Source organism: Homo sapiens, chromosome 17, assembly GCF_000001405.40.
Source record: "Homo sapiens chromosome 17, GRCh38.p14 Primary Assembly".
In the NCBI taxonomy this organism is placed as follows: Eukaryota; Metazoa; Chordata; class Mammalia; order Primates; family Hominidae; genus Homo; species Homo sapiens.
In genome coordinates this window covers 72581419-72595472 of record NC_000017.11, presented here as the reverse complement: position 1 = coordinate 72595472, position 14054 = coordinate 72581419, and the positions used below count along the sequence as shown (strand labels likewise).

Genomic DNA, 14054 nt, shown 5'->3' with positions numbered 1-14054 from the left:
GGTCACTGTGTGCAGCCAACGCTTAAGAAATGGGGAGTTATACTCCACTTCCTGGAGGGCAGTGTATTTACATACATTTTTTGAAATTCTTCTGCACAGATTTCTTTTCCTCTGTGTATTTATTTTTCCAATCACCTAATTATATCAATATGAACTCATGAATTTTTTTATTACTTTGGTTATAATCTAATACCACTTTACTTAAGTTGTTGTTCAAATGGTTCCCCCACTTTGGCGATTAAGAGCTCTTTCAGTTGGTTTCTATGTCCTTCTCTCGTGGCCCCACCATTGTATGGTGTGTATGCTTGTGTGTCAGTGTGTTTTAGCACTTTCTTACTTTCTGACACTACGAGGTGCTCCAGGCTCATCTTGCATATTTCCTGCCCCAGTCCTAGAATCAGCTGTTTCTCCAATGAGCTCTGGTTCCTTCTGTTGGACAATAGTATAAAAACAAACCTAGGTGCTAAATGATCGCTTAGATCCAGTGCTCATTGCTACTGGGCTGCCATTGCTTCTGGACCCTCTTAGCAGAGAGAGAAAGGAGATATATGTGTGTGTATGCTAATGCATGTACACATACAATTCTTATTTTTACCTCTATCTAGCTATGTATGTATGTATGTTTGTATCTGTCATCTCTATGTTATGCTAAACATGGGTTTATACCTCTCTGGATGTTTTAGGAGCAAGGAAGAGACATGATTCCAGCTTTACCTGGGGAAAATCAATCTCACAGCAATGAGAAGAAATAAATGATGAGTTAAAATTAATTTCTATATTTTTCTAATTATTCAAGTGACTAATGTTTGGTGTGCAGAAATTTAAGAAGACTGAGGACTAGAATGAATTATAACGCAGGAGAAAACAATAACCATGCATAGTCAGCAAGAGGCACTGATACCATTTTGAGACGACTGGATGCCCTTTCGTATGCTAGGAATATGCAGCCCGTGTTCTGGAAAGTGGGGAGAAGGTCAGGCGGCTCCTAGCAGCAAAGCTGCGTTATCCTCAATATCCTGTAGGGGAGGGTTTAGGGAGTTCGGATATCCCTGCCTTTGACATTCATCTTGGCCTCAGTTTTTCTCTTACCTGGAAGCAAGAGAGGAGTTGATTGTGAGTTCAGAGTGGAAATGGTGGCCAATCCAGACCCTGCACTGCCACTGACTCTCCGGGAATGTCAGCGCCAGGTGAGAGCCAGGATTCCAGGGCCAGACCTGAGCTTGTCCATAGCCTGGGACTTGAATGGGGGGAAACTTGGGCACAGTGGCAGGTGGAAAATCAAGTCTGTGCTTCAGGGGCATCTAGGAATGCCCTGTCTATCTTCTCCCCTCCCCAACCCCATTTACCCAGGTGCCTCCTGTTACTTTCAATACTAATGCCTTCTTTTTTTTTTTTTGAGACAGAGTCTCACTCTGTTGCTCAGGCTGGAGTGCAGTGACGCAATCTCGGCTCACTGCAACCTCCGCCTCCCGGGTCCAAGCGATTCTCATGCCTCAGCCTCCTGAGTAGTTGGGACTACAGGCATGCACCACCACGCCCACCTAATTTTTTTTGTATTTTCAGTAGAGATGGGGTTTTGCCATGTTGGCCAGGCTGGTCTCGAACTCCTGACCTCAGTGGTGGGATTACAGGCATGAGCCACCACGCCCAACCTGATGCCTTCTTTTTCTGACCATTTCCTCTCCAGCAATCCCACCGTGGCCACAGGAAAACCTGGCCCAGGAGATTCCAATGTTCTTGGCTTCCCCTCCTGTCACAGCCTCAGTGATTTTGTGATTTCATCTTGCTTCTCAGGGCTTGCTTTTATCAAAAGGGTTGGTTAGTCACAATGGCTGTTAATAGGTGCAACAAGGCATAGAAGACCTGTTAGGGGTTGAACTTTTCCCCCTACAACTCCAAAATATTAATATATTGCAGTCCTAATCTTCAGGACCTCCAAGAATGTAACCTTATTTGGAAATAGGGTCGTTGCAGATGTCATTGGTTAATGATGAGGTCGTACTGGATCAGGGTGGGCCCCTTATCCAATATGACTGGCATCCTTGTAGAAACACCACAGTGTGAAGAGACAGAGATTCACGCAGAGGGAAAACTATGTGAAAAGATACACGGAGAAGACCGTGTAAAAGGTGGAGGATGAAGGTAAGGCAGTTGCAAGCCAAGGAACGCCTAAGATAAGGAACGCCTAAGATAGCCAATGACCACCAGGTCTCAGAGAGGCCCGGGACAGATTCTCCCTCACTGCCCCTAGAAGCAAGCAACCCCGCTAACCCCTTGATTTCGGACCTCTGGTCTCCAGAAGTGGGGCCCAGCTGGGATAACCTGACTCTAGGGCCACCAAGGTTTGTCATCCTGGGCGGCATTCGGGGCTGGTGTGACCCACCTTATGCACAAAGGCCAGAATAGACCTAGCGGCATTGACAATAGGACTGGAATGCCAGCTTTGTCTGTGAAGGAAGGGCGCAAGGGAGGACAGCTGTGGTGGGCAAACCCTAACCATTTCCATCCTTGTTTAGCTTTTGTTCTGACTACGACAGGACTACGTAGTCGAACTACGACTCCCAGGAAGCCGTTCGGCCTTCCCCACCCCCTCCCCGCCCACCCCGCTCCGCCCCGTCCCGGCGCGGGTCCGCCTGGTATATAAGGGCCGAATGGCCCAGCCGACTGCAGGGCGCGCAGGCGGCGCGGGTGCGCGGTGCGGCGCTGGTATCCAGAGGACGCGGTCACCGCCTCTGGCATTTGTCGTTCTGCGCTTCTCCGCAAGGACCCTCTGTTAGGCAGGCGCCCACCGTAAGCCTCCCGGGCCTTGTGAACCTGCAAACCCAAGTCTGAGAGACGATCCGCCTTCAGCGCTTTCCAGCTTGGCAGAGAGGCTTTCCCGGCGGGGATCTTTGGTTGGCGCTGGCGATGCGCGGGGAAGAAAGGCGAGGAGCGGCGTCCAGGCTGGGTGATGTCCCAGCACGAGTAGGCGGGATGCGCTCGCTTGGTCCTCCGGGCGCCCGGTCCCTGCCCGCGTCGCGCGCCCACCCCTGGGGACGAGAAGGCGGCCGCCTGAGGACCCCCGCCCGCGACCTCCGCGAGTCTGGAGCGCAGAGGACAGGGTCTGGCTGCTCTTTGGCCTTGGATGGAAAGTGGGGAATTGGGTGGGGGGCTGCGGACCCCTTAACGTGGATTACTTGGTGTGTATCAGCTGGGCTCAGAAGACCCACGACCTCTTCTCCATCCGTGGATTGATTTGTTCTGCTTAACAGCTGGGTCGCCAAGCTGGAGGTAAGTTTCCCTGCGGTTCGGGGAAGGGATCTGATTTACTTTCTTTTCTTTCTTTCCTTTTTTCCTCCGCGTCGTTTTTCGAAGGTCTCGAGATTCCGGGTTGAAATTTTTGTTCTTGTAATTGACATCTTCTTGGAGGTCATTTTAGTCATCCCCCTGCCTCCAAGCGGAGCTGATTCACCTGGGACACGGTGGTCAGCGACCACCCCATCCTGGGCGTTCTCGGCCGTTGTCCTTCAGCCTCTAGCGCTGCCAAGCCTTGGCTGCCTGGAGGGACCGAACCTCAGCTGGGGGAGACGCCCCCGCGTCCTCGGCGCACCCGCTCGGCCCCTTGCACTTGCCTTAACGCCTGGGCGCCCTCCGGGCTCCGTTACTTCGGGAGCGGTGCCGCCTCCGTGAGCTCCTGGCGTCCGCCCACTGGCGACCGGGGACGCTGCTGGGGCGCAGCGGTTGGAGAACGCGACTCAGCCGAGCCCCTCTCACCGTTGGGGCTAGGGGGTGAGCGGGGGCGTTTGGCAAGCAGCTTTCCGGCGAGGACTGGGCCACCCGTCAGGCTGACGCTGGTACGCGTTTGGCCAGGGTGTGGACGGGCTTTCTGAATAGGTGGGAGGTGGCAGGAATTCAGTCCAGTGAGACCACCCGCCACCTCCCCTTTCCGGCGCAACTTGCTAATGGAAGTCGTTTCTTGGCCAATGTGGGGAGAGGGCTTACGTCTTGAGTCTGGAACTGAAAGCATACCGCTTCTGTATCCATAGCTTCCTCCTCCCCTTGTTCTTTTGTGTCTGCCCTGTTTGGGGGCAGCGCGATGCCTGTCACTGAGTAGGCACTGAATAGATGTTTGTTGAATGAATGACTGAGCGACTCCACCCTTGGCGTGCAGATTAACCAGGGTCCTCCTTTTCCTTCTCCCTCCTTGGCGATTGTCCTCACCTCCAGGACCTATCTAGGTTTCCTGAGGATGCTTTCCCAGAGGTGGGATTCCCTCCTTCGCCCCTCACCCCTCTCCTGCAGCCTGTGGGTTCGCATTTAGAACCTGTCGGTGATCCATTTCCCACCCAGCAGTCCCTTCTGCATAGGAATCTGACGCTGTCAGGGATCACTCTTGGTCAGTGCTCAGGGTCCCAGCGTCTCCAGTGAGCACTGCTCCAGGAGCAAGAGAAAGTAAAGCAGCACCGGAAGAAGAAAAGGCAGTGCATAGTGGCACGACCCCCTACCCTGGGAGCTGGGGCCCTCGGTGCCCCTGGTCCCATGCAGGGTTTGGAACTGCCCAGGTTGACACAGCACCTTACCTGCGGCCCTTCCCCACCCTCTGCCCCCACCCCAGTTCTGTGCTTAGACTGACTCCGGGAGAGGAAAGGTTGAAACCGCCAGGCAAACTGATAACCAACCCCACCACTCCTCCTCCCTGTCTGATTTTAAAAAGTAATCCATGCTCTTTCTCTTTCTTTTATAGAAAACTACACAAAAGTGCCCAAAGCAGGAAAAACATCCAATTCACACAGTAATGCTGGCAATTTGATATATTTCCTCACTGGTGAAATCCTGCAATGTATACAACTTTTTCTCCTCCTCTTTTTTTGTGTAATTTTATTTGAACGTTTCCCCCATGTCATGACGGCATGGTAACTGTATTCTGCTGCAGGCGTTGACTCATAATTGGCTTGGCAATTTCCCTATTGTTGGATACTAAGTTGTTTCCAAAGTTTTACCATTAGAAGTAATACAGTGAGCATCTTTTGTACATAAAGATTTATCCACATTTTGTATTATTTTCTTTGGAAAATTCCCAGAAATTGCTATATTTGCTTTAAGTTAGAGTTATGTCTAAAGCAAAGGAATAACTCTATTTCTGGATATTGCCGAGATGGGCTTAGAGGAAAAGATACCACTTACCCATCAGATAATACTGCATCTTGGAGCGGGGACGCAGAAGGGGCACAGAGTGAATGGCTGCTGAGGGAATGAAGTGTTTTGTTTTGTTTCTTTTTGTATCAAAGAGTTGATCAGCATTGGTATGAGAATAACTTAAAATTTGTCATCAGGATTATGATGTAAAATTTTTTTTTTTTTTTTTTTTTGAGACGGAGTCTCGCTGTCGCCCAGGCTGGAGTGCAGTGGCGCGATCTCGGCTCATTGCAGGCTCCGCCCCGCGGGATTCACGCCATTCTCCTGCCTCAGCCTCCCGAGTAGCTGGGGCTACAGGCGCCCGCCACCTCGCCGGGCTAATTTTTTGTATTTTTAGTAGAGATGGGGTTTCACCTTGTTAGCCAGGATGGTCTCGATCTCCTGACCTCGTGATCCGCCCGCCTCAGCCTCCCAAAGTGCTGGGATTACAGGCGTGGGCCACTGCACCCGGCCGATGTAAATTTTTTTTTAGCAATACCATAAAGTAAGATATATCAGGCAGCTAGATTTAACATGCTGTCTTTTTTAAAAACTTAACTTTTGATTTTGATATAAATCTAGATTTACAGGAGTTGCAAAAATAATGCCAAGGGTTCCACTATATCCTTTACCCTGCTTCCCCAAATGCTAACATCTGATATATCCATGGTGCAATGATCAGACCTGGGATACTGGCACTGACACAACACGTTTAACTAGTCTACAGGCCTCATTCAAATTTATCCATTTGTCCCACTCATGTCCTTTTTCTGGTCCAGGGTCCAATTTGGGATCCTGTAATGGGACCTTGTAAAAAGTGGGAACCCAGAGGGGTAGAGAAGACAGCCTTTGTTCAGGAGGAGGTTTGAAATTGGGACGTCATTTTCATTTTCCTCCCCAGGTGAATTTGCCCTTCCTCTACTGACGGTAGCAGAGCCGTATCAGGCTTCCAGGGCCTATGGGAGCTTGCCCATAAGTGGGGAAAGCATCTCTGTGTACCCCCTCCCTCCTTTCCTCTCCCCAAACCTACAGTGGGAATGTGTCATTGAGTGAAATTGGGTTATTAGCCGGTCTGCCCTGACACGTCTTTTTGGGGGTAGACGTTTGCCATCTGGTGTGCGTGAGAGCAAGCTGCTGAGCCACTGAATCCGTGGTTGACAAGTACACCGTGCAATGCCTGCGTGGGTGACTCATGCCGGCTGGAGTAGCAGGTGTGTCGGGAGCTAAACGTGCAGACCCAGCAGGTACAGCATTTCCTGGTTATCTGAGCAGATTGGAAGGAACACGGATTTCTGCTCTGAACTCAAAATGGATTTAGGGTATTGTTAAGCAATTTTGGGTTAGGAAGTGATTCTCCTTTTCTTTAGGGGACTTTCTTCCAGGAGAAGATTTGGGGTGAGGAGAGCTAGCCCGAAGGGATTTTTGGAGGTGGCTGATATGGATGGAGGCTAGCCCAGGATCTTTGCATAAGAGTCCACTTGTGTGAATTTGAAGAAACCCAGGAAAGGGGCCCTTCTCCTGTCCTTACAATAAAGAGACCGCATGGTCAGCCAGTAACGCACACGTGAATTGAGGCTGTCTGCTTTGAGTATCACTGTGTCTTTTCTGACTTGGAGTGGTTGCCTGCATTGAGCGAAGGCGATGTTTGTTTGGGATAAGGAAGTTTTGACGTTACTTAAATCTCAACAAAACAGATTTCTGTTGTCCAGACAGAGTTTCTGTGTTAATGTTAGGGTCTGGTTGCCTAGACTTGATTTTTCTTTTCCTTTTTGAAATGCTCCCAACCTTCCTACTGTAGCTTGTAAACTGAAGGATATTCATGTCTTTCTCTCTCCTTGTGAACTGGTACAGACGTTTTCTGTAACTAGCCAGCTCCAGTGAGGATCATAACAGGAAGTCTCGCGGGGAGAGGGGTTGCGGCTGTTGTGACTAAACAGTTCTGGAAGGCACCTCTGTCTACACCTGCCTGTCCCTGTCCTCAGCGTCTCCTGGTGGGTCCTCCCTACTCAGACGCTGCAGCTTTTCTAGAATCTACTCCAGTGCAGTGCAGACTGTTCACTTTAGGACTGCCCCACCTGTCCCCTGGTGTTCAAATTGTGGTTTGCATAAGAATGAATTGCTTGCGGAACGCGTTATAAATGAATATTCTCAGCACCCACCCCCGTCCAGCCCCTCACCTTCAGTGCTTGGGGGTCTGCATTTTCAACAAGCCACCCAGGCCATTCTGACACAGGCACTTTAAGAAAACAGGAAGTTGACTGACTTCTTGGCCAGATAAAGCCTTAATTGAACATTTTCCCACTGAAGCTTACCCAACCACAGTGTTTTTTTCTTTCTCCTCCTCCAGGAAGCCTTTCTGGTTTACCTCCACTGGTCTGGGCCCCCGCATGTACTTGTTTGGTTTGTTGGTACAGGTTTTTACTTAGGAGCCTTGAAGTCAGATGCCCTTTATACTTGGTTAAGACAGGAGTGGCTGCATTTGGGTGAATGATAAAGGAACTACAGCTCTGGGCATTTTCTCCCCTCAGGTAGGCAAGCTCTTTGGGAGCTTGGAACGTGTCCCTGACCAGGCAGCATCCTGGCACATTTGTTTGTGTACCCACACAGACCACTGCTGCTTCTGTCTGTGGCCACCATTGTTCTAGACAATGTCACTGTCATCATGGAGCTGGTTGGGGTCCTCCACACCAAGTTAGCATCCCCTGTTCATGTGATTGATGCACCCAGCTCACTTCACAAGAGGACAGGAATGATCCTGGATGAATTGTTTTCAATTATGCTGTTGGCGAAAGACCCCTTGTTCAAAGTCAGCTGGTGGTGTTCCTGCCTTACAGACGAGGCCTGTGCCTAGAAAAACATCTATACAAAACCAATCTTGGTTGATCACATGATATTCAAAAGGCCCGGAGGAATCGTGCAACCTAGAAGAATGCTGAAGTGGCAAGTTTCTGCCCAAGAATTCTTTTTGTAATGTGAATCATCATCATCTCCTCCCATATTTGGTCTGTTGGTACAGGTTTTTGCATGGACGTCTTGGAAACCAGGTGCCTTTGTATGTGATAAACAGATGTGGCTTCGTTTAGGGGTTTGACCAAGGGACTGCAGTTCTGGAGCTGCAGAAATCAACCAGACCTTCCGACCCCCAGGTCTGTGAGGCTCCCCCAAGGTTTGGAAGATGCCGATTGTTAGGGTCCAGTTTTAATGATTTACAGACTTACCTCCTTTGCTTCAAAAGTGGTCATTTTACTTTAGCAATTTACTTCTTTTTGGTGTTTGCTGGACTGGGAAGTCCCAGTAGGATAGGCCAGGAAAGACCATGCCCGCCCGCCCAGCAGTCCCTTCTGATGATTGAGTGGGGATTTCAGGGCATGCTTTTTGAGCTAGCCATGGAGTGTTCCTTCTCTAATGATAGATGTATTTCCAATCATTTGCCTATGGACTTCCTCTTACCTTAATTCTACAAATATTCAGTGCCTGCTGGATGCTTTTTTAGGCATTGGTGCAGCCGCTTTGGTTCTTCAGCATGTGGGCTGTGGTGGTCTTCGGCGCCCATCGGAAGCTGATTTGAAGATTTAGCAGCCTGTGTGGAAGCGGGGGTTCTGTTGCGCTTTACAAAGTGAAAGGAAGGTGTCTGAGGTGCTGGCCTTTGGGGACAATTTCACTATGTGAGTAAAACCCTTATTGAGCTTTAAGTGACGAGAAGGTTTCTGCAGTTATGCCTTCTTCACTTAACTACTTGAAAACTTTATTTTATTTTATTTTTTTCTTTTATTATTATACTTTAAGTTTGAAAACTTTTAAAACATTTCTACTTTTCTCTTTTTTTTTTTTTTTTTTTTTGAGATAGGGTCTTGTTTTGTTGCCCAGGCTGGAGTGCAGCGGTGCGATCTCAGCTCACTGCGACATCCGTCTCCTGGGTTTAAGCCATCCTCCCACTTCAGCCTCCTGAATAGCTGGGACTACAGGCACCCACCAGGATGCCCAGCTAATTTTTGTATTTTTTGTAGAGATGAGGTTTCGCCATGTTTCCTAGGCTGGTCTTGAACTCCTAAGCTCAAGCAATCCACCGGCCTCAGCCTCCCAAAGTGCTCGGATTACAGGCATGAGCCACTGCACCTGGCCCACCATTTTTATTATGATAAAATATACACAACATAAAATTTACCATCTTAACCACTTTAACGTACACAGTTCTATGGTATTCAGTACATTCACGTTGTTGTGCAACCATCACCACCTATTTTCAGAAAGTTTTTCTTCCCAAACTAAAACTCTGTACCCATTCAGTACGAACTCCCCATTCCCCGATCCTCCCAGCCCCTGGCAACCACTGTTCTACTTTCTGTCTCTATGAATTTGGCTACTCTGGGTATCTGATAGAAGTGGATCATACAGTATTTGTCCTTTTGTGTCTGGTTTATTTCTTTAGCCTACTTTCTTCAAGGCTCATCCATGTTATAGCATGTGTCAGAATTTGCTTTTTAAGGCTGAGTAATATCCCACTGTATGTTTATATTGCGTTTTGTTTATCCACTCATTTCTCTGTGGATACTTGGGTAGCTTCTACCTTTGGCCATTGTGAATAATGTTGCTAGGAACACGGATGTGCAATGTTCGGGTCTCTGCTTTCAGTGCTTTTAAGGATATACCTAGAAGTGGAATTGTTGGACCACATGGTGATTCTATTTTTCATATTTTGAAGAAAAACCATACTGTCTCTTTTTTTTAATTTTAACTTTTTAAAAAATTTTTTGACACCAAGTTTCACTCTTGTTGCCCAGGCTGGAGTGCCATGGCGTGGTCTCGGCTCACTGCAACCTCCACCTCCTGGGTTCAAGTGATTCTCCTGCCTCAGCCTCCCTAGTAGCTGGGATTATGGGTGCCTGCCACCATGCCCGGCTAATTTTTGTATTTTTATTTTTATTTATTTATTTATTTATTTATTTTTGAGATGGAGTCTCGCTCTGTCGCCCAGGCTGGAGTGCAGTGGCACGATCTCTGCTCACTGCAAGCTCTGCCTCCTGGGTTCACGCCATTCTCCTGCCTCAGCCTCCCTAGTAGCTGGGACTACAGGCGCCCGCCACCACACCCGGCTAATTTTTTGTATTTTTAGTAGAAACGGGGTTTCACCGTGTTAGCCAGGATGGTCTCCATCTTCTGACCTCGTGATCCGCCCGCCTCGGCCTCCCAAAGTGCTGGGATTACAGGCGTGAGCCACCGCTCCCGGCCTAATTTTTGTATTTTTAGTAGAGATGGGGTTTCATCATGTTGGTCAGGCTGGTCTTGAACTCCTTAGGCTGGTCACCTTAGGTGACCCACCTGCCTTGGCCTCCCAAGGTGCTGGGATTACAGGCACGAGCCACTGCACTCAGCCTGCCATACCATCTTCTATAGCATCCATACCATTTCACATCCCCACCAATGGTGCACAAAGTTTCCATTTTCTTGCCAAGACTTGTTTTCTTATTCTTTTATTATTATCTATTTATTTATTTATTTTGAGAATAGCCATCCTAATGTGTGTGAAGTGCTTTTTGCTTTAAGAAAGCCATCTTCACGAAGAGTGAAGTGTCCAGGAAGTGAGGAGCGGCCGAGTTGGTGGGGGTGGCGCCCAGCTCTGAATCTGCCACAAGTATTCTTTCTAAATGAAAAGGTTTGATGACCTAGCACGTTCCGTAGGCCCTGATTCTTTGAACTGGAGTTTTCCAATTGCTTTTGTGCCCATATGCCATGTGATAGTACCTTCAACCTGGTGAAATGATCAGGTGTCATCCTGTTTTACAGGAGGGGCATTAAAGCACTAGTCAGTGAAATGACGTGGATAGGTACTGACCTTGTGGACCAGCCCTCCCACTCTAACTCCTAATCTGGCACACATAGTGAAGAGCGAGTATTTTGGAAGTGTTGGTGTGGAGACGGAGGGATGGGAGGATAGAGACTGGACTCACTGTTTAGGAGAATTCTAGAGTGAATCCTCCCTGCTGCTTGCCCTGCGGAGTCACGCTTTCATATATAAAGTTTGCTGGAAGTGGAACTTTTATTAAAGTAGAGAACACTTTTCTGCACAGTTTGAGGTGCTTAAAAAGTGCCTTTTGAGGCCAGGCGCGGTGGCTCACGCCTGTAATCCCAGCACTTTGGGAGGCCGAGGCGGGCGGATCACGAGGTCAGGAGATGGAGACCAGCCTGGCTAACACGGTGAAACCCCGTCTCTACTAAAAATACAAAAAAATAGCCGGGCGTGGTGGCGGGCACCTGTAGTCCCAGCTACTCGGGAGGCTGAGAATGGCGTGAACCCGGGAGGCGGAGTTTGCAGTGAGCAGAGATCACACCACTGCACTCCAGCCTGGGCGACAGAGCGAGACTCCGTCTCAAAAAAAAAAAAGTGCCTTTTGAGCATCATGGTGGATGTCAGAGTTCGGTGGCAGCTCCCGTGGGGACCTGGGGTGTGTGGCTGGGTGAAGACGATCACCTCCCTTCTGTGGTTTTATTCCCCAGGCTGAGTTTGAGCCCCCAAGGCTCCTGTCGGTTCTGGTTTGTGATTGGCTCCTCCGTGCCCCATGCGCATGTCCAGCCGCCAGGGAGATTAGGCGTTTGTAGTAAGTGATTTCACTGGCCCTGGGGGGACAGATGGTAGACAGTGTTTGATCCCAGTCTTTGCAGGGCTCTAGCCCCTCGCAGCTTCTGCACCTTCTCTGCATGGACAGGAAAGTGGCCTTGTCACCTCAGAGCCACCAAAAATGTGGCTGTTTTCCATTTTAATTTCTTCACGGTGATATTTCTTTATATTTTTAAAATTAAGCAGTGGCTGGGCGTGGTGGTTCGCTCCTGTAATCCTAGAACTTTGGGAGGCCAAGGTGGGAGGATCGGTTGAGCCTAGGAGGTCTAGGCTGCGGTGAACTATAATTATCCCACTGCACTCCAGCCTGGGTGACAGAGCAAGACCCTGTCTCTAAAAAAAAAAAAAAAAAAAAAAATAAATAAAAATAAAATAAAATTAAACATCAAGAAGCAAAGTTGTTGTTGCTGAAGTTGGGGTGATAGAACAGGGTCGCCCCTGCCTGGAGGCTTTCTTCTCTCTGGGAGGGGTGGGGGTGCCCCCCAGGACCCATTCTCCATGACCCCTGACTGTGACCTCTTCTTCATGATTCCTGACCGTGACCCCCTCCTCCTTTGGTTTCAGACCAGACTTCTTTAGGGGATCCAGGACTAAGCCGAGGAAGGTGTTTCTGAACCTCAGGGAATCTGTGGCCACTGGCAAGCCAGCGGAAAATTCAGGTGTTTGGGTTTTTAATTAAATTTCTAAGTGGAAACCAGGAATGCGGTTAACCAAGGAGCTGAAGCGGTCCGGGTTTCTCATTCCACCCTGACTGCTGGGCGCTTTGGGCTTTCCTGGAATTGCTTTCCTCATCACCTTCGCTGCCTTCTTTTTCTGCTGTCCCCCTTCCCTGCTCGCACCGTTGTGATCGAACCTGAATGGTTTTCTCAAACCTTTCTCTGGGCCCTTACCATCCTAGGTATCTGTTTGTCAGGTACCAACTTAGGGGGAGGATGCCCATGCGCCTGCATTCAAGGTTCACCGCTCAAACTGGCCATTGGGTGATGTTGCTTGTCCCCGAAATAATGACCCGGTCCAGTGACCCAATTCCTTGTACCAACCCTGTGTAAGGATTCAACAGATATGATGATCCCTGTATTAGTCCATTCTTATGCTGCTGATAAAGACATACCCGAGACTGGGTAATTTATAAAGAAAAGAGGTTTAATTGACTCACAGTCCCACATGGCTGGGGAGGCCTCACAATCATGGCGGAAGGCAAGGAGGAACAAGTCACATCTTACATGGTGGCAGGGAAGAGAGACCTTGTGCAGGGGAACTCCTGTTTATAAAATCATCAGATCTTCTGAGATGTATTCACGATCATGAGAACAGCATGGGAAAGACCTGCCCCCATGATTCAATTACCTTTCACTTGGTCCCTCCCATGACACGTGGGAATTGTGAGAGCTACCATTCAAGATGAGATTTGGGTGGGGACACAGCCAAACCATATCAGTTTCCAACCAGCCCCTGCTGCCTGTCAGTGGGGCAATGTCCAGAAAGAGAGGCAGCCCTGCGGCAGGCTCGAGAACGTGCTTCCAGAGTTTTTACTTCCCTTAATCCTCAGAGCCCTGGGATGTTATGATCTCCAGCATTTGAGGCTTAGAGGCATGAAGGAATATCCTTAAGGTCTCATAGCTTTGAAGGATGGAGCCACAGTTCAAAATCAGGTCTTGGCCCAGGACCATCACTGGGCCCCTGTCCTGCCCCAGTGCCAAGTGTCTGTATGACTTTGCACATGTCCCTGGGCCTCTGTCTGTGGGCCCAATTCCTATTGGTCACTTTTAGTTGGAGGTTACAGAGAAACCAACTGTATCCAGCTTAAAACAATGGATGTTTTGGTTGTTCACATAACTAAGAAGTGTGGGGGTTGTGCTTTTGGGGTGATTTGTTGGCTCGGTCTCTCTCTCTCTTTTCATTGTCTCCCCTTCTGTATAAAGTTTCATTCTCAAGTTTACTTTTCTCATGTGGGCAGGCCTCCTGACTCTATAGATCTAGAGGGAGAGAATGGCTTTGTGGTGGCCTTCCTGAGAGCTGACCGTGCAGTAATGCTCACCCCTAGACCCACACCTCTGGCCAGTAGCTTGGGTGCGGGGGGACACATTGATTGACTCTCCCCTGGTCATGTGCTTCACATCTGACTCTGTTGTGAGGTTCCCCAGAGCCACCAAGATTCTGCAAATGGAAATTAGCGCCCTTAGGAAGCACAGGTACATGCAGGGCAATACCACCAATTGTTCACGATGAATGAATTGGACTCCTGGGATAATAAACCAGAATGTGTGCTTGCGGGGGCGGGGAA

At 49.0% G+C, this 14054-nt stretch overlaps 1 long non-coding RNA gene across 5 annotated transcripts in view, besides 1 other annotated feature; it reads left to right on the top strand.

Moving 5' to 3' along the window:
- Positions 2542 to 2591: a silencer, noted in NCBI's record as "silent region_8916". NCBI's record gives its function as "represses an Ori minimal core promoter by ATAC-STARR-seq in GM12878 lymphoblastoid cells {active_cell/tissue: GM12878}" and the evidence as "EXISTENCE:reporter gene assay evidence [ECO:0000049][PMID:35858748]".
- LINC00673 (long intergenic non-protein coding RNA 673) overlaps positions 2669 to 14054 on the top strand; it is a 189483-nt gene continuing 178097 nt past the window's right edge. For all 5 annotated transcript variants that reach the window (NR_152515.1, NR_137280.2, NR_152516.1 and 2 more), the window contains exon 1: positions 2669 to 3270. This is a non-coding gene — a long non-coding RNA (long intergenic non-protein coding RNA 673). The remainder of the gene's footprint in view (positions 3271 to 14054) is intronic.